Source organism: Homo sapiens, chromosome 8, assembly GCF_000001405.40.
Source record: "Homo sapiens chromosome 8, GRCh38.p14 Primary Assembly".
In the NCBI taxonomy this organism is placed as follows: domain Eukaryota; kingdom Metazoa; phylum Chordata; class Mammalia; order Primates; family Hominidae; genus Homo; species Homo sapiens.
Window position 1 is genome coordinate 34,204,736 of NC_000008.11, and position 20,245 is coordinate 34,224,980.

Sequence of the window (20,245 nt, forward strand, 5' to 3'; positions counted from 1 at the left end):
CTTTTGCTGTATTGCTGCTAATTAAATATTCCATAGAAAGTCTTGCATTGATCTTGAAAGGTACAGTTAAACACATTTTAAAATTTATGTATGGCTTTGTGTGTATGTGAGTGTATGTTTAATAAGCTTAAATAGTTTAGGCATTAAAGCAGTCATAAATACAACACTAGAGCTAGTTCAGTTCCTCGGAAAGCAAGGTTATACTGGGGAGAAAAACTTGTTTTGAGATAAGAAGAAAGAAAATAAAAAATATAAAAAAAAGCATTATGAAAACGGTGTTATGAAGCTAAACTGGGAAGCTTAAATAATCATTCCTGAACAAAGGAATCTGCATCACAAGAAGCCTGCCAGAAGTTGAGTGCTCATTTGAAGAGAATTCTTAAAGGCTATTTCTGCCAAGGAAAGTTAGGTTGAAAGATGACACGTTTTCTTTCCCCCTTTACAGGCTATAATTTACACTTTGAGGACTATTTTCCTTTTTCACCTCTACGGTGGATTTACTAGCTCTAGTTGTTGAAGAAGCACAAAGATTTGGCCAACTGAGAGAGGGGATGCACCTTGAGAAATTTTAGTATCCTTGGGTTCCACGAGATTGTCAAGGCTTTCATCTCCTCTCTGTTAGCTGTAGCTGAAAACCCCTTTTGCTCTTTTCAAAGGTCAGGGTCGGTAGATATTTTTGTAAGGGGCACATTTGAACTAAAGAGGTGAGCAATTGCACTGACAGCAAGAAGCTTCTGCAAAAGAGTTGGTAAGAAAGAAAGGAAAGGTCATTGTTCTGGAATTTTTCCTCAAGGTGCAGATTCAGAGCAAAGGGATAGAGACCCAGACTGAGGACAGGACCACAAAATAGGTGATTCCGGCAATGGGTCTCTTCACTTGCTTGAGCAATGTGGGGAAAGACTATTGCCAAGGGAGAAGGGATACGATGAAAAGAAATGTAGAAGCCAGGTCAAATGATTCCTTCTCTCGCTCTATTCACTGTTAGCTCATTTTCTTGTTCTTAGGGTCTCCGAATCCTCCATATGAGGATAATATTAAATGCGTGTACCAAGAAAAATGACAACACCCCAAATTCATTAAAAAAACATGAAAACACTGTAGTCTAGAAAAAGTCCTAATGCAATCTGTAGCATTGACCTCCACGAAGATACCCTTTTAATCTTAAACCTACAAAATCACAGATTTCATTTTTCTCCTTGTTACTTTTTCTGAAATTGAAGTACAATGCTACTGGGTAAACAATGTCTTGGACTGGGTACAATGGCTCATGTGTATAATCCCAGTATTTTGGGAGATTGAGGCAGGAGGATTGCTTGAGGCCAGGAGTTCAAGGCCAACCTGGCCAACATAGCAAGACCCCATCTCTACAAACAATAAGAAAAAGTTAGCTGGGTGTGGTAGCACACGATGGTAGTCCTAGCTATTCAGGAGGCAGAAGCAGGAGGATTGCTTGAACCCGAGATTCTGAGGCTGCAGTGAGCTATGATCACACTGCTGCACTCTACTCCAGCCTGGACCACAACCTGTGTCTCAGAAAACAAGTGAAAAACAAACAAAAAACAATGTCTTGATTTTCACTGTAGGAGTAGTCATGCTTTCTATGTATAGTGTTAAGTAAATCAAAAGAGGACATACACTTTTTCACTCTTGCTTGTTTTTAAATTAAAAAGAAAATCTCATCTCACCATAGAAGATACAGAGAGGGCAAATAAGCATAGGAAAAGATGCACTATGTCTTACATCTTCAGGTGAATGCAAACTAAAACAGCAATGAGATGCCACTACACACACACCTATTAGAATGACCAAAATCCAGGACACTGACAATACCAAATGCTGGTTAGGATGTAAACTAATAGGAACTTTCTTTCATTTCTAGTGGGAATGTGAAATGGCGAAGGCACTTTGGAAGACAGTTTGGCATAGTTTCTTAAAAATCTAAGCCTATTCTTACCATATGATCCAGTAATCACACTCCTTGGTATTTACCCAAAGGAGTTGAAAATTATTTCTACACAATAACATGAACATGGATGTTTAAGCAGCTTTACTTGTAATTGCTGAAACTTAGAAGCAACCAAGATGCTCCTCAGTATGTGAATAAACAAACTGTGGTACACTGAGACAATGAAATATTATTTAGCACTAAAACAAAATGAGGCATCAAGCCATGAAAGACATGGAGGAACCTTAACTGCATCTCACTAAGTGAAGAGAAACAATCAGAAACAGCTACATACTGTGTGATTCCAAGTATAAGACATCTGAAAAGGGTAAAACTATGTAGACAGTAAAAAGATAAGTGGTTGTCAAGGGTTGGGGGGAGTGGAAGAGGGAGGGATGAATAGGCAGAGTGCAGAGGATTTTTAGGGCAGTGAAAATACTCCGTATAGTACTATAATAATGGTAGATACTTGCCATTACACATTTGTCCAAATTCATAGAATGTACAATACCGAGAGTGAACCTTAATGTAAATTATAAACTTTGGGTGATTAAGATGTGTCAATATAGATTGATCAGTTATATCAAATGTACCACTCTAGTAGGAAATATTGATGGCTAGGGAAGCTATGCATGTATAAAGACAGGGGTATATGGGAAATCTCTGTATCTTGATCAAAATTTTCTTGTAAACCTAAAACTGCTCTAAAAAGTAAAACTTTTTTTTTTTAAAGAAAATTACACAGCTATCTGTTTTGGAAAATAAATTTTGGAAAAATGTATAAAAGCAGTAAATAGATAAAAGACAACTTTAATAAAGAGCATAAAAACATATTGATGACATATTTTGCCTTCTTATTACACGTAACTTAGAATATGATGTAATGAAATATGTTTACCTGAGAATATAGGCATTTAAGTGTTTGTGTCACTGTTTTGTTTCCTCAAGGTTACCCTCTTGACTAAAACTGGCTATAATTTTCTAATTTGCTGTTAGCCTTGTCTATGCATTTCAAGATTCTCCACTTATTTTGCCTACATTCAAGAATCTGTTGCTTTTCTTCTGTGATAGGCTTTTCTTTTACATTAATCTTAACACTAACAAGAAGGCCTGATATATCCTAAACATTTTCTTGTTCTTTAGCATTTTTTTAAAATACTCTATTGAAGGAAAATAAAGTAACTGTTGGTAGAAACTGTGATTAGAACAAAGACTCATAGGAGATTTTGATTTAGGTTGTTTTATTCTTTTTTTCCCCAAAGAACTTTAAACTTTTTTCCTTGAGAATGTTTGTTCTGCATTTGTATATAATTTATAGATGTGTTAAAAACTGCATTTACCTTCAAGAATTTATAGTCTGGAACAAATTTCTTGGTTTACAATAGAATTGATTCTTTCTTAAAATTACATTATTGCGAGGTCTTTTAAAAAGTAAATTGCCTGTGCTTTATTTGCACATGTTGATTTGTCAAAATAAAAATACGTAGTCATTTCTTCAGAGTCTTAATGATAAATCCTAGAGGTGATGAACAGAATATAGTGAAATTAAAATAAAAATCTGAGAAATCTAGACAATTAAGAGAAATTGAGAGTTTGAAGAGCAGAGCAGCTATTGATTGATAATAATTAGATACATATTTATATTAACTTGTTATTTTAAAGGATCAGTTTGCTCCTTGTAGCAAAACTTGGAAGAAAAGTAGTCAGATTTTATATATGTTTCTTTCAATTAATGATTTTCCTTCATATAGGACAGATTTATTTAGTTACTGCTACTTCTGTTTCATGATTATACTGATTGACTTTTTCTACCAGGTAAATAAATATTTCACAAAAGACTTTTTTCTATTTGCCCCTCTCTCCTTTATGTATGTTTCACTTGATGGATTTTGTCCTTATAAATTACTTTCTTTTTCCCAGTTAAAAAAATTGTTTCACAACTTTGAAATAAAAAGCAATACACAAAACACAAGAACTACCAAAAACATTGAACAAAATTTAAAATGTGTTTTTAACATTTTGCTTTCTTAAGATCTAGAAAGTTAGTTCCGGAAGATGTAAGGGATTTGTTTTTTTGTTTGTTTGTTTTAATTTGTTTTTTCTTTTTAATTTTTATTTTTAGTTCTGGAGTATATGTGCAGGATGTTCAGGTTTGTTACATAGGTAAACATGTGTCCTGGTGGTTTGCTGCACCTATCAATCTATCACCTAGGTATTAAGCCCAGCATGAATTAACTATTTTTCTTAATGCTCTCCCTCCCCCAACCTCATCCCCTTACAGGCCCCAGTGTGTCTTGGAGAGTATGTGTTGTTTACCTCCCTGTGTTCATGTATTCTCATTGGGCAGCTCCCACTTACAAGTGAGAACATGCAGTGTTTGGTTTTCTGTTCCTGCATTAGTTTGCTGAGGATAATGGCTTCCAGTTTCATCTATGTTCCTGCAAAGGACCTGATCTTATTCCTTTTGATGGCTGCATAGTATTCCATGATGTATATGTACCACATTTTCTTTATCCAGTCTATCATTGATGGGCATTTGTGTTGATTCCATGTCTTTGCTATTGTGAATGCTGCAGTGAACATACACATGCATGTATCTTTGTAATAGAATGACTTATATTCCTTTGGGTACATACCCAGTAATGGGATTGCTGGGTCAAATGGTATTTCTGGTTCTAGCTCTTTGAGGAATCGCCACACCATCTTCTACAATGGTTGAATTAATGAGAATTAGCCTTTAGAAAAATGCTTATTTTTATAGCAGTCTTAATCTAATCCTTAGGTACATTTACTTTCATCTACTTCTCCTTTATCACAAGAAAATTTGTTAATCAGGCATTTACCCATTGGAGAATATTGGTAAGCATCTGGTTGGCATAGAAAAAGTCTATTGTTGGAAGTCTGTAGTTTCTTGGTTTGCATTTTAAGTGGTTCTCATGAACGTTTACTTATATTTGCTATAAATCCTTCCTTATTAACTACATCATGTTAGCCATCCAGTGGTAATCAATTTCTATCACTCTAAGCCCTGAATCTAGATCCATGAATTACCATTTTACTTCCTCAGCACTGATGAAGTCCACTAGTTTCCACATCATTTAAGCATCAAGATGATAAAGTCTATTTATAAGCATTGAGTCCAAGAATGAATATTATGTAAATGTAGAGAATCATTATTCTATCCTAAACTGAGGAGCATCCCAGATCAATGCTATGATACATTGTTGAATTTATTGTTCTAGTCCTAATGGCACACACATTATATTGTCAATTTCAAGTTACTGGGCAACTTGTGCCAAAATGCCTCCATTCATCATATTGACAGTAATTTTAATCAAATTAACTATCCTTAAAAAAAAGCCCTGCTTCATTTGAGTTATATTGCTTTTCTGCCTACGGGGAACATTTACACAATTAACAAAAGCAGATCAAATGCTAATAAAGAAAACAAATGAAGATTTATTCATAATCCTCCAAAGAATTGTAATAATTTAATTAAGGTGTATGCTACTTTTGGAAGAAAAGTGATAAGATGGAAAAAAAATCCTTTGTGAGAAGGTAAAAGGAGGGGCAAAATAGCTTGTTTAAGAATTCTTCAGCTTTTGTAATTTTTATTGATTTCATCTCAAAGAACAATAGGCAAAAATCCATTGAAGATAGACGTTAGCACTTGGGGAGAAGAAAAAAAGGGTGGATCAATCAAAATCTGCAGCTTGCCAAATATTTGAAAGATATAGAGACAGCCAGGAGGGAGAACAACAGTCTGGGGTGGTCCAAGGGAATAAAATAAATACTTAATGGGATGAAGTAAGAAGCAAAAGAAAATTCAAACTGATAATCAAGTAATGTTTTCTGGCAGTCACAGATTATTCATTCCTAAGCAATGTTAGACTTCCCATGGAGATGTTTTTCTTTAGAGTTTTATTCTCAGTCATTAAAAGAGAAACAAAGCTCCCTAAACTGTGATGTGAATGAAACATCAATGTTTGTGAAGATTGTTGGATCAGCTAAATGTAGTGAGGCATTTTGGGGGCAAGAATCCCAATGAAGTAATAGCCTTCAAACCTAGAGTAGACTTTGAGATTCAACTCCTAATTAATAAATCAGGTACAGAGAGTATTGCAGAGTAATTTAGAAAGTCACAGTCATTCTTTAAAGTCATCAAAGTGGTAATTCAGTCCTTCAAATTTATATATTATTGAGAAGGAGTTATGTCCACCATGGCATGAGAAGATTCTAGGGGTCATGGACCCATTCCTCGTCCAGGTGAAGGTTAAGTATAATCTGTATGGCAACTGTAAGATTGATATGTGCGATATAGGTATATTATTAAGGGGTAAAGCATCTAGGATTGACTATAAGGGGAAATCAATGAAAGCTGAATTCTTCAGGGGAGCCAATATGGAGTTGGGCTAGGAACAACTGACAAATTCAAATGTGTAAAAGAGATAGGAAGCTATACGTGAAGAGAAATCTATTGGAAGTCACTAAGGCAATGGCAACTATTTGCTCATTTCACAATACTGTGAAATTTATAAAGTCTGCATGTTCAACTCCCTAAAACTTATAGGAAGAGTTTCATAGGATTGCTTATAGGAAGAGAATTTTACACAAAGAGAATGTAGAACATTGTTTTTTTTCTTAAAAAATAAACAAAGCTATTGTATATTCATGGAAATGCCTATATATAAAGGAAGCAGTACGTACAATAGAGTAAGGACTGAATTGAAACTTTTAAGACATGGATGCTCAACACAATTCTGCTATTAACTAGCATCAAGCTTTTGGTAAGAATCTTCACGCCTATGGACGGACCTCAGTTTAGCCATTTGTAATGAATGAATGAATAGAAGAAAGTAGGTAAATAAGTAACATTTCCTAATTTCTTCAATGCTCCTTTTCTCTTCTACATTTCTAAAATTCTCTGAAGTATTTAGAAAAACAGTGTAGAACTACCCATGGCCTAAAAATTTTGAGTATGGGAAAGCTCATTGCACACTGATGTTGATATGAGAACACATGGAAGATACCCAGTTCAAGTGAATGGTGAAAGGAACTCCAACCAAGAAATTGATATCCTTCTTCATTACCTCCTTTCCCTTATCAGTTTTCCTTCCAGGAGCATGGTGGGTTGGGTCCCAACCTCAAATCCCATGAAGAGACATCATCAGGCTAACATCAGACAGACACAGGAATATAGTGTTAGGTTTGGAAAGAGGAAATAAAATTAATTAGTTTGATCTCTGAGTCAAGTAGCATTTCCTTCCCCTTGCAGTTTATCATTTCAGTGTGATATAACATCAGTATCCTAACTAGTAGCTTTCCTTTTGCAAACACTTAGTGTGACATAGTTCCTAAAGAATAAGTTGGAGCTGGAGAATCCTATTTGACAAGGAAGATTTAAAAATGTGTAGAATGAGGAAATGGAGTAGATCGAACACAAACATTTCTCACTTTTCAACATATGCAGTTAATATTGTTATTAATCTAAGTACTGCTTTGATATAAGGAAAAAACCTACTTGTACTTACTTATGTCATTTTATTACTTTTTTATTTGGAAATAAGAAAGGCTATATTGTGTTGCTCAGTGCTTCTGTTTGTGATTGTTAGGAAGACAGGTGGGATTAGCGATGGCATGTAATGAAATTGATTATATTTTAAAAAGTTTATTGCTTCACTTTGAAAATATAAATTTACAAGAAAAAAACAACCCTATCAAAAAGTGGGCGAAGGATATGAACAGACACTTCTCAAAAGAAGACATTTATGCAGCCAAAAGACACATGAAAAAATGCTCATCATCACTGGCCATCAGAGAAATGCAAATCAAAACCACAATGAGATACCATCTCACACCAGTTAGAATGGTGATCATTACAAAGTCAGGAAACAACAGGTGCTGGAGAGGATGTGGAGAAATACAAACACTTTTACACTGTTGGTGGGACTATAAACTAGTTCAACCATTGTGGAAGTTAGTGTGGTGATTCCTCAGGGATCTAGAACTAGAAATACCATTTGACCCAGCCATCCCATTACTGGGTATATACTCAAAGGATTATAAATCATGCTGCCATAAAAACACATGCACACGTATGTTTATTGTAGCACTATTCACAATAGCAAAGACTTGGAACCAAGCCAAATGTCCAACAACGATAGACTGGATTAAGAAAATGTGGCACATATACACCATGGAATACTATGCAGCCATAAAAAATGATGAGTTCATGTCCTTTGTAGGGACATGGATGAAGCTGGAAACCATCATTCTCAGCAAACTATCGCAAGGACAAAAAACCAAACACCGCATGTTCTCGCTCATAGGTGGGAATTGAACAATGAGAACACATGGACATGGGAAGGGGAACATCACACACCAGGGCCTGTTGTGGGGTTGGGGGAGGGGGGAGGGATAGCATTAGGAGATATACCTAATGTTAAATGAGGAGTTAATGGGTGCAGCACACCAACATGGCACATGTATACATATGTAAGAAACCTGCACCTTGTGCACATGTACCCTAAAACTTAAAGTATAATAAAAAAATATATAAATTAAACATAAGCTGATAGAAAGGACAGAACTTAGCACAAACCCATGTCAAGGAAGGCTTGAGATATAGAGCCCTATAGCATTTTTGGCTTATTTTGCATAATGCTTCTAAATAGCAAGATTCAGTGCTCTAGACTATAGCACAGATGGAGATTATCTTGTAAAAACTATTTAAATAATGAGATCCAGACAGATTTTATGTGAAAGCAGGTAATTTGACTGGTAAATATAATTGACTGGTTGGACAAAGCCCCATCGGCCTGAATATCTCTTATAACTCATCGAGATGACAGGTTCAGTCTAGAACTGACATTCCAAATATTTCTTGTCTTGATAAGAGAGTTAATAACAGGGAGTGGAGAAAGCACTGGGATAAGTATAAGGGGTTCTGAGCCTTCTAAGTTTGGTTCTACCATTTATGAGCTATGTTGTCTTGGGCAAGATACCTTTACATGTCTACACAAATAAACCTCCTATTTAAAAAGATGGTAATGCCCACTCTTCCTTACTCGAACAGAATTGTGAAATTTGATTGAAATGATGTTGATGACATAACAATGATTAAATGATAACTCAGTAACTGAATCCCAAGTTCTTAGTGTTATCCTAAGTGTTATAATTGGATCATTTTTGATTTCTACAAATGACCTAAGAGATCACTATTACCTTTTCCATTTTAAGGATGAGAAAACTGCTGCTCAGAACGTTAAAGGGACTTATCCAAACTCATGAGATAAGTAAAAGGCAGAACAAAGTTTTAAATCAGCTCTCACTGGTCCTAAAGCCTGTACTTATTCCACAGTACTATTGGAAAACAGAGGAGTGCCAAACAAGTGACTGTAAGTATAGAGCACTTTTCAGTTTTCAGTTATGTTTCATTTCTATAAACAGAAATAAATTGTAAAAATTCCTGTTACAACTTTGGTTATTTGTATTTTGGTTTTACAAGCAAGGTTTAAAAGCTTACCAAAGTCTTCTTATTTCTTAAGATCTATTTCAAATGCTGCTTAGTCTGTGAAGCCTTTAGTTAAACTCCTAGTCAGTGCTAGTTACTTCTTACATGAGTTAATGGGACTTCTGGCATTTTTAAACATATAGTAGTCTTTGTGTTTTTCCGTGCCTCTCTTTTCTTTTAGACAAGGCTATTCAATAAAGTATCATGTGGCTATTTGAATGACTTAAATTAAATTAAAAATGTGGTACCTTAGTAACACAAAGTCACATTTCAAGAGTTCAACAGCCACATGTGGCTGTTGGTTATGTAGACACAGGACACTTTCATCATTACATCTATTGGACAGTGCTTCTTTAGATCAGGGGATGAAAACTATGGCCTGGGGGCAAAATCTGGCCTGCTGCCTATTTATGTAAATTAAGTTTTATTGGATGACAGCCATACTTATTCATTTGATATTTTCTTTGGCTACATTTGTGTTAACAATGCAAGAATTAAGTAGCTCCAACAGAGACCAAATGGCCCACTAAGTCTAAAATATATACTATCTGGACCTTTACACAAAAAGGTTTGCAGGCTTCCAATTTAGACTACAAGTTGTTTGAGGCTTAAAGCTCCAAGCATGTTCCTTTTATTTTGGGGCCCATCATATTAGATTATCTAGTAAGAACCAAGGCACTTTTGCTGAACTAAGTTGACATCAAATTAAGAAACAAACCCCATCTGATCCGAGGCTGGCAGCCAAGATGGCCGAATAGGAACAGCTCCGGTCTACAGGTCTACAGCTCCCAGCATGAGCGATGCAGAAGACGGGTGATTTCTGCATTTCCATCTGAGGTACCGGGTTCATCTCACTAGGGAGTGCCAGACAGTGGGCGCAGGACAGTGGGTGCAGCGCACCGTGTGCGAGCTGAAGCAGGGTGAGGCATTGCCTCACTCAGGAAGCACAAGGGGTCAGGGAGTTACCTTTCCTAGTCAAAGAAAGGGGTGACAGACGGCACCTGGAAAATCGGGTCAGTCCCACCCTAATACTGCGCCTTTCCAACGGGCTTAAAAAACGGTGCACCAGGAGATTATATCCCGCACCTGGCTTGGAGGGTCCTACGCCCACGGAGTCTCGCTGATTGCTAGCACAGCAGTCTGAGATCAAACTGCAAGGCGGCAGCGAGGCTGGGGGAGGGGCGCCCACCATTGCCCAGCTTGCTTAGTTAAACAAAGCAGCTGTGAAGCTCGAACTGGGTGGAGCCCCCCATAGCTCAAGGAGGCCTTCATGCCTCTGTAGGCTCCACTTCTGGGGGCAGGGCACAGACAAACAAAAAGACAGCAGTAACCTCTGCAGACTTAAATCTCCCTGTCTGACAGCTTTGAAGGAGCAGTGTTTCTTCCAGCACACAGCTTGAGATCTGAGAACGGGCAGACTGCCTCCTCAAATGGGTCCCTGACCCCTGACCCCCAAGCAGCCTAACTGGGAGGCACCCTGCAGTAGGGGCAGACTGACACCTCACATGGCCGGGTACTCCTCTGAGACAAAACTTCCAGAGGAACGATCAGACAGCAGCATTCGCGGTTCACGAAAATCCGCTGTTCTGCAGCCACCGCCACTGGTACCCAGGCAAACAGGGTCTGGAGTGGACCTCTAGCAAACTCCAACACACCTGCAGCTGAGGGTCCTGTCTGTTAGAAGGAAAACAAACAGAAAGGACATCCACACCAGAGACCCATGTGTACATCACCATCATCAAAGACCAAAAGTAGATAAAACCACAAAGATGGGGAAAAAACAGAGCAGAAAAACTGGAAACTCTAAAAAACAGAGCACCTCTCCTCTTGCAAAGGAATGCAGTTCCTCACCAGCAACGGAACAAAGCTGGACGGAGAATGACTTTGACGAGTTGAGAGAATAAGGCTTCAGACGATCAAACTACTCTGAGCTACAGGAGGAAATTCAAACCAAAGGCAAAGAAGTTAAAAACTTTGAAAAAAATTTAGACGAATGTTTAACTAGAATAACCAATACAGAGAAGTGCTTAAAGGGGCTGATGGAGCTGAAAGCCAAGGCTCGAGAACTACGTGAAGAATGCAGAAGCCTCAGGAGCCGATGCAATCAACTGGAAGAAAGGGTATCAGTGATGGAAGATGAAATGAATGAAATGAAGCCAGAAGGGAAGTTTAGAGAAAAAAGAATAAAAAGAAACAAACAAAGCCTCCAAGAAATATGGGACTATGTGAAAAGACCAAATCTACGTCTGATTGGTGTACCTGAAAGTAACGGGGAGAGTGGAACCAAGTTGGAAAACACTCTGCAGGATATTATCCAGGCGAACATCCCCAATCTAGCAAGGCAGGCCAACATTCAGATTCAGGAAATACAGAGAGCGCCACAAAGATACTCCTCGAGAAGAGCAACTCCAAGACACTTAATTGTCAGATTCACCAAAGTTGAAATGGAGGAAAAAATGTTAAGGGCAGCCGAGAGAAAGGTCGGGTTACCGACAAAGGGAAGCCCATCAGACTAACAGCTGATCTCTCGGCAGAAACTCTACAAGCCAGAAGAGAGTGGGGGCCAATATTCAACATTCTTAAAGAAAAGAATTTTTAACCCAGAATTTCATATCCAGCCAAACTAAGCTTCATAAGTGAAGGAGAAATAAAATACCTTACAGACAAGCAAATGCTGAGAGATTTTTGTCACCACCAGGCCTGCCCTAAAAGAGCTCTTGTAGGAAGCACTAAACATGGAAAGGAAAAACCGGTACCAGCCACTGCAAAAACATGCCAAATTGTAAAGACCATCAAGGCTAGGAAGAAACTGCATGAACTAATGAGCAAAATAACCAGCTAACATCATAATGACAGGATCAAATTCACACATAACAATATTAACTTTAAATGTAAATGGACTAAATGCTCCAATTAAAAGACACAGACTGGCAAATTGGATAAAGAGTCAAGACCCATCAGTGTGCTGTATTCAGGAAACCCATCTCACAGGCAGAGACACACATAGGCTCAAAATAAAAGGATGGAGGAAGATCTTCCAAGCAAATGGAAAACAAAAAAAGGCAGGGGTTGCAATCATAGTCTCAGATAAAACAGACGTTAAATCAACAAAGATCAAAAGAGACAAAGAAGGCCATTACATAATGGTAAAGGGATCAATTCAACAAGAAGAGCTAACTATCCTAAATATATATGCACCCAATACAGGAGCACCCAGATTCATAAAGCAAGTCCTGAGTGACCTACAAACAGACTTAGACTCCCACACAATAATAATGGGAGACTTTAACACCCCACTGTCAACATTAGACAGATCAATGAGACAGAAAGTTAACAAGGATACCCAGGAATTGAACTCAGCTCTGCACCAAGTGGACCTAATAGACATCTACAGAACTCTCCACCCCAAATCAACAGAATATACATTTTTTCAGCACCACACCACACCTATTCCAAAATTGACCACATAGTTGGAAGTAAAGCTCTCCTCAGCAAACGTAAAAGAGCAGAAATTATAACAAACTGTCTCTCAGACCACAGTGCAATCAAACTAGAACTCAAGATTAAGAAACTCACTCAAAACCGCTCAACTACATGGAAACTGAACAACCTGCTCCTGAATGACTACTGGGTACATAACAAAATGAAGGCAGAAATTAAGATGTTCTTTGAAACCAACAAGAACAAAGACACAACATACCAGACTCTCTGGGACACACTCAAAGCAGTGTGTAGAGGGAAATTTATAGCACTAAATGCCCATGAGAGAAAGCAGGAAAGATCCAAAATTGACACCCTAACATCACAATTAAAAGAACTAGAAAAGCAAGAGCAAACACATTCAAAAGCTCGCAGAAGGCCAGAAATAACTAAAATCAGAGCAGAACTGAAGGAAATAGAGACACAAAAAACCCTTCAAAAAATTAATGAATCCTGGAGCTGGTTTTTTGAAGGGATCAACAAAATTGGTAGACTGCTAGCAAGACTAATGAAGAAAAGAGAGAAGAATCAAATAGACGTAATAAAAAATGATAAAGGGGATATCACCACCGATCCCACAGAAATACAAACTACCATCAGAGAATACTACAAACACCTCTATGCAAATAAACTAGAAAATCTAGAAGAAATGGATAAATTCGTCAACACATACACCCTCCCAAGACTAAACCAGGAAGAAGTTGAGTCTCTGAATCGACCAATAACAGGCTCTGAAATTGTGGCAATAATCAATATCTTACCAACCAAAAAAAGTCCAGGACCAGATGGATTCACAGCTGAATTCTACCAGAGGTACAAGGAGGAGCTGGTACCATTCCTTCTGAAACTATTCCAATCAATAGAAAAAGAGGGAATCCTCCCTAACTCATTTTATGAGGCCAGCATCATCCTGATACCAAAGCCGGGCAGAGACACAACCAAAAAAGAGAATTTTAGACCAATATCCTTGATGAACATTGATGCAAAAATCCTCAATAAAATACTGGCAAACCAAATCCAGCAGCACATCAAAAAGCTTATCCACCATGATCAAGTGGGCTTCATCCCTGGGATGCAAGGCTGGTTCAGTATACACAAATCAATAAATGTAATCCAGCATATAAAGAGAACCAAAGACAAAAACCACATGATTATCTCAATAGATGCAGAAAAGGCCTTTGACAAAATTCAACAACGCTTCATGCTAAAAACTCTCAATAAATTAGGTATTGATGGGATGTATCTCAAAATAATAAGAGCTATCTATGACAAACCCACAGCCAATATCATACTGAATGGGCAAAAACTGGAAGCATTCCCTTTGAAAACTGGCACAAGACAGGAATGCCCTCTCTCACCACTCCTATTCAACATAGTGTTGGAAGTTCTGGCCAGGGTAATTAGGCAGGAGAAGGAAATAAAGGGTATTCAATGAGGAAAAGAGGAAATCAAATTGTCCCTGTTTGCAGATGACATGATAGTATATCTAGAAAACCCCATTGTCTCAACCCAAAATCTCCTTAAGCTGATAAGCAACTTCAGCAAAGTCTCAGGATACAAAATCAATGTGCAAAAATCACAAGCATTCTTATACACCAATAACAGACAAACAAAGAGCCAAATCATGAGTGAACTCCCATTCACAATTGCTTCAAAGAGAATAAAATACCTAGGAATCCAACTTACAAGGGATGTGAAGGACCTCTTCAAGGAGAACTACAAACCACTGCTCAATGAAATAAAAGAGGATACAAACAAATGGAAGAACATTCCATGCTCATGGATAGGAAGAATCAATATCGTGAAAATGGCCATACTGCCCAAGGTGATTTATAGAAAAAATGCCATCCCCATCAAGCTACCAATGACTTTCTTCACAGAATTGGAAAAAACTACTTTAAAGTTCATATGGCACCAAAAAAGAGCCCACATTGCCAAGTCAATCCTAAGCCAAAAGAACAAAGCTGGAGGCATCACGCTACCTGACTTCAAACTATACTACAAGGCTCCAGTAACCAAAACAGCATGGTACTGATACCAAAACAGATATAGATCAGTGGAACAGAACAGAGCCCTCAGAAATAATGCCGCATATCTACAACTATCTGATCTTTGACAAACCTGAGAAAAACAAGCAATGGGGAAAGGATTCCCTATTTAATAAATGGTGCTGGGAAAACTGGCTAGCCATATGGAGAAAGCTAAAACTGGATCCCTTCTTTACACCTTATACAAAAATTAATTCAAGATGGATTAAAGACTTACATGTTAGACCTAAAACCATAAAAACCCTAGAAGAAAACCTAGGCATTACCATTCAGGACATAGGCATGGGCAAGGACTTCATGTCTAAAACACCAAAAGCAATGGCAACAAAAGCCAAAATTGACCAATGGGATCTAATTAAACTAAAGAGCTTCTGCACAGCAAAAGAAACTACCATCAGAGTGAACAGGCAAACTACAAAATGGGAGAAAATTTTCGCAACCTACTCATCTGACAAAGGGCTAATATCCAGAATCTACAATGAACTCAAACAAATTTACAAGAAAAAAACAACCCCATCAAAAAGTGGGCAAAGGACATGAACAGACACTTCTCAAAAGAAGACATTTATGCAGCCAAAAAACACATGAAAAACTGCTCACCATCACTGGCCATCAGAGAAATGCAAATCAAAACCACAATGAGATACCATCTCACACCAGTTAGAATGGTGATCATTAAAAAGTCAGGAAACAACAGGTGCTGGAGAGGATGTGGAGAAATAGGAACACTTTTACACTGTTGGCAGGACTGTAAACTAGTTCAACCATTGTGGAAGTCAGTGTGGCGATTCCTCAGGGATCTAGAACTAGAAATACCATTTGACCCAGCCATCCCATTACTGGGTATATACCCAAAGGACTATAAATCATGCTGCTATAAAGACACATGCACACGTATGTTTATTGTGGCACTATTCACAATAGCAAAGACTTGGAACCAACGCAAATGTCCAACAACAATAGACTGGATTAAGAAAATGTGGCACATATACACCATGGAATACTATGCAGCCATAAAAATTGATGAGTTCATGTCCTTTGTAGGGACATGAATGAAATTGGAAATCATCATTCTCAGTAAACTATCACAAGGACAAAAAACCAAACACCGCATGTTCTCACTCATAGGTGGGAATTGAACAATGAGAACACATGCACACAGGAAGGGGAACATCATACTCTGGGGACTGTTTTGGGGTAGGGGGAAGGGGGAGGGATAGCATTAGGAGATATACGTAAAGCTAAATGACGAGTTAATGGGTGCAGTACACCAGCATGGCACATGTATACATATGTAACTAACCTGCACATTGTGCACATGTACCCTAAAACTTAAAGTATAATAATAATAAAAGAAAAAAAAGAAACAAACCCAAATTCCCACATCTAGTAAGTGATAGAGCCAGAATTCAAAACTGTTTATCTGATATAAACCCATGCACTCACGCCATGCCATCATGCTGGCTCCTGGTCTTCTGTAGTTGGTGTACCAGTCAAACATTGAGACTGGCCTTCATGTGTAAGATTTCCTCTGGTTAGGCTTTGGTTGTCAAACATGGCTTCCAGCTTTAAGGAACTCACATAAAAGCAATCACAATGGATAATAAAAGGGAAACTCAGACTCATTTAGACTCCCATTCCTCTTCTCCCTATTCTTCAGTTTGCTTTCTCTGTTCCAGCTACAGTGATCTCCCTTTCTCATGATGAACCTACTGGGCATGCTGCCACTCCAGATCTTTTCAGTTGCTGCTGTCTCCACTTGACGGAAACGCTGTGTAGCATTGTTCAGGTTGTGCAATAAAACATGCATGATAGCTGAACATGGTAGCCATGATGCCTACAATTCCCTTCCCTTACAATATCCACTGGCTCTCTCCTTGACTTTCTTCAGGATTATGTTTGCTGTCATTTTCTCTTAAAACAGCCCCTGGCATCCCCAATCCTTTGTACTCAGTTCTGCTTTCCTCAACTTTTTTATTCTAACATAGGATAATATTTAACTTACTTTCTTTGTTTATTCTTTATTTTCTCTCCCAGTGAAAGCTCCAGGGAAGACAGGTCTTCTTTACTGTTGTTGTTGTTCATTGATATTCCCCAGTGCTGGGTAGAGGATTTGGAACAATATCTTCCAGTCTCTTTCTTTGAATTTCAGTACATCTAGCAGCCATATCTGAAGGGGTTGGGAGTAAAGTATACACAATCTAATTAACAACACCTGTAATAAGCACCTTTACTCACTTCTTTTGGTGAATTCTCCTTCTTTTTGTTTCTCTAATCATAAAGGATCTCAGCTCTTTGTTATTTTGAAATCTGCATTATATATATATATGTATAGAAAAGTTCGGGGAATGAGGATTGTGGCTAAACATAGAATAACAATTGCATGTGTGAGTGAGTGTATGTATGTAATTGCATGTGTAAAAGAGAGAGAGGGAGAGACATTGAGAGTTGTGGTATTTATTGGAAAGGGTGTGAGATGCTGAATTTGGCCAGATGTTAATAAAATCTGTAATATATCTATTGGACCAAGCTAAATATGTGGTGGCAAATATGCTTTGAGACACTGAATTATCCAATGCAGTTCCCAGGCAGTGCTCTTACTGTTGGTGCTGCTATTTTGGAGAGTTTCTTGGAAGCTGAAATAGATTCTGCTCATTCCTTCCTGTAAGATTTCTTTTTTTTTTTTTTCCACCAGAAAAACTTAAGAGATTGTCCATAAATCAAATAGAAAGGAAGTGAGAAGTAGAACAAGGGATTCTGTGATCCCTGTGGATTTTCCCTGCATTTTTACTCTCTAAATATATTGAAAGATCAGTTCTATTTCTTTGAATCATTTTTCTTAACCAAAGGAAACAATATCTCACTGCTATTTCAAAGAATTGATTAATTTTGCATAATCTGGGCAGATAAGAAAATCAAGTTCAGTGCTGAGGAGCATTGAAAAGAGTTGTGCAGCCAAGTGTCCTTGCTGTACAATTCAGTGTTGATGCCAATCTTTTAACTGCCTTTGAAGTGGAGCTGAAGAGCCTTATAATAAAGATAATAAGGCTATGAAATTTAGACTCTGTACTGGCTGAAATTGGATAATTAGTTTAGGATTTCTTAAATTATGTGGGAGGTGGCGGTAGAGAAAAATAAAAAGAATAAGAACCTGATTCTCAGCAGCACAAGCTAATAATTTAATCTATATAGATTGATGAATATTCACTGTATGCCCAGGAAATACTAACTACTTTGTGCAGAGATTAACTGGGTCTGGTTCAGGACAGAAAAAGAGGTTATGGTGCAGAAAAGTATCCAACATGAAACAACCTCCCTTTAGAAGACAGGAGAACAATAAAAAGTCACAAAAAAGCATACACTTTATTATGCTGATTTGATATTGCTAGCTTTTTGAATGTGTTCATCTATCTTTTCCTTTTGTTTTGTTCCTTCAATAATCTCATGTCTATATGTAAAGGAGATCTGATAAATTAAAGACAAAATGACAGCAAATAAACTATACCCAGAAAAGTTTTCCTGTTATTTGCCTTTGCTTTTGGTGCTACTATACAATTTTCCTAATAACTTACCATAATAATAGCGGTAACTTCAAGTTTATATCATTGTTGAAAAAACTATAACATCTTTATGTGATCGCTTAACCCCCTAATCCCTGCTGCCTCTCCATCACCTTTCTGTCTCTCTTTATTTACCTCAGCTTTAGAATTTCTCTTAAATATCATTGTAGATGTAGACTTTCTTTTTTTAAATCAACTTTTATTTTAAGTTCCGAGGTACATGTGTAGGTTGTGTAGGCTTGTTACATAGGTAAAGTGCCATGATGCTTTGCTGCACAGATCAACCCATCACTCAGGTATTAAGGCCAGCATCCGTTAGCTCATCTTCCTGTTGCTCTCCCTGCCCCTAGTGTGTGTTGTACCCCTCACCCCACATGTCCATGGGTTCTCATCATTTGGCTCCCACTTACAAGAGAGAACATGTGGTGTTCCTGCATTGGTTTCGTGTTCCTGCATTAGTTTGCTGATAATGACTTCCAGCTTCATCCAGACTTTCTACGATAGAGAAGACCTTATTTTTTGCATAGTTACTTTTAAATGTGCAGAAAGCATCTTGGAATCCAAAACAAACCATCCCAGATCTATTTTGTAAATGTATAAAAATCAGACAACTGACTTGTATTGTCCACCTAATGAATGTAATAAACTAGCTTTGTGTTTCAAGCTCAAGATGGAAAGTAATAGGTCTGTCCTCATCTCCTCCGAATGATGCAGGTATCACTAAGATGAGATTTGAGGTAAGTGATCCTTTACTTCACCTGCAGCATTGTATGTGGAGCCGGTTGTGTGAAACAAATCTTAATATCTCAGAGATAAAAAAGGGAATTATGTATGGTGGAAACAATTTTCAAAATGTAGATAATCTGCTGGAGAGATAAAATTGTATTACTTTTTTCTTAAGGAAAGACAACATTAGAGTAAGTGTATATGAAATCTCTCAAAAATGATTTAGATTCCTTTTTAATCAAATTACCAAAATGTAAGCCTATCTAAATTCACAATATTTTGTTTTTGAAATCTCTCTTTTGAAATTGTTCTCAGAGCAATAAGCACACTTTAAAAAATTATTTCAGCCTAATGATAGCAAATCTTCACCTTTTGAGCAAGGGAGTTGATTTTCAGAAATAGCCAAAATTTTTACCACATATAAATAATGGCATCAGTTATCCCTAATATTATTTTTAATGAAAAATAGTTGGTGAATATTTAGTATTGAATTTAAGATTTTTTTAGTAGTACAAATACTGTTCACAAAGACAATTTCAAACATTTCTTTGAATTATGATTGAAATGAGGAGTATTTGTTTCTTGCATCATAGACCCACTGTGCCCTTTTTAGTGGAAAGTCTTTTGTTGCTAAGAGGGAAAGTTTCAAAGCAAAAAGAAGACAGTGTTAGTGGGGACACCTTTCTTGTTATATTTCTTCAGTGAGTCACCTTGAGGAGTTTACATGACATTAGGGCAGTCTGCAATATAAGTCCGCAATATAAGGTTTATATGATGGCCATGAAAATTCATATATCATTTTTTCCCCTCTGAGCTTTGTTATGTTTGAAATGACAGTCATCCCATTAAGAAAAATTATTCTATTTAAAATCTTCAGGTCCGGTGCAAATAAAAACAATGAGTGGTAAATAACTTAAATTTTACTTTGTGTCAATGGGTAGGCCTTTGCAGACAAACAAAATTGGTTACTGCT

At 37.4% G+C, this 20,245-nt stretch overlaps 1 long non-coding RNA gene across 5 annotated transcripts in view, besides 1 other annotated feature; it reads left to right on the plus strand.

Annotated features, from left to right (window-relative positions):
- Nucleotides 1-20,245, plus strand: part of LOC105379364 (uncharacterized) — a 535,736-nt gene that overhangs the window by 482,354 nt on the left and 33,137 nt on the right. For 4 of the 5 annotated variants that reach the window (NR_189605.1, NR_189606.1, NR_189607.1 and 1 more), the window contains one exon: nt 9,185-9,342. This is a non-coding gene — a long non-coding RNA (uncharacterized LOC105379364). Of the gene's footprint in view, nt 1-9,184; nt 9,343-19,210; nt 19,284-20,245 lie in introns of all 5 variants that reach the window. The other variant, NR_189608.1, reaches the window with a different exon arrangement.
- Nucleotides 10,570-11,069: an enhancer, noted in NCBI's record as "H3K4me1 hESC enhancer chr8:34072823-34073322 (GRCh37/hg19 assembly coordinates)". NCBI's record gives its function as "activates a minimal SCP1, AML or CMV promoter by ChIP-STARR-seq in naive H9 embryonic stem cells {active_cell/tissue: H9 hESC(naive)}" and the evidence as "EXISTENCE:reporter gene assay evidence [ECO:0000049][PMID:30033119]".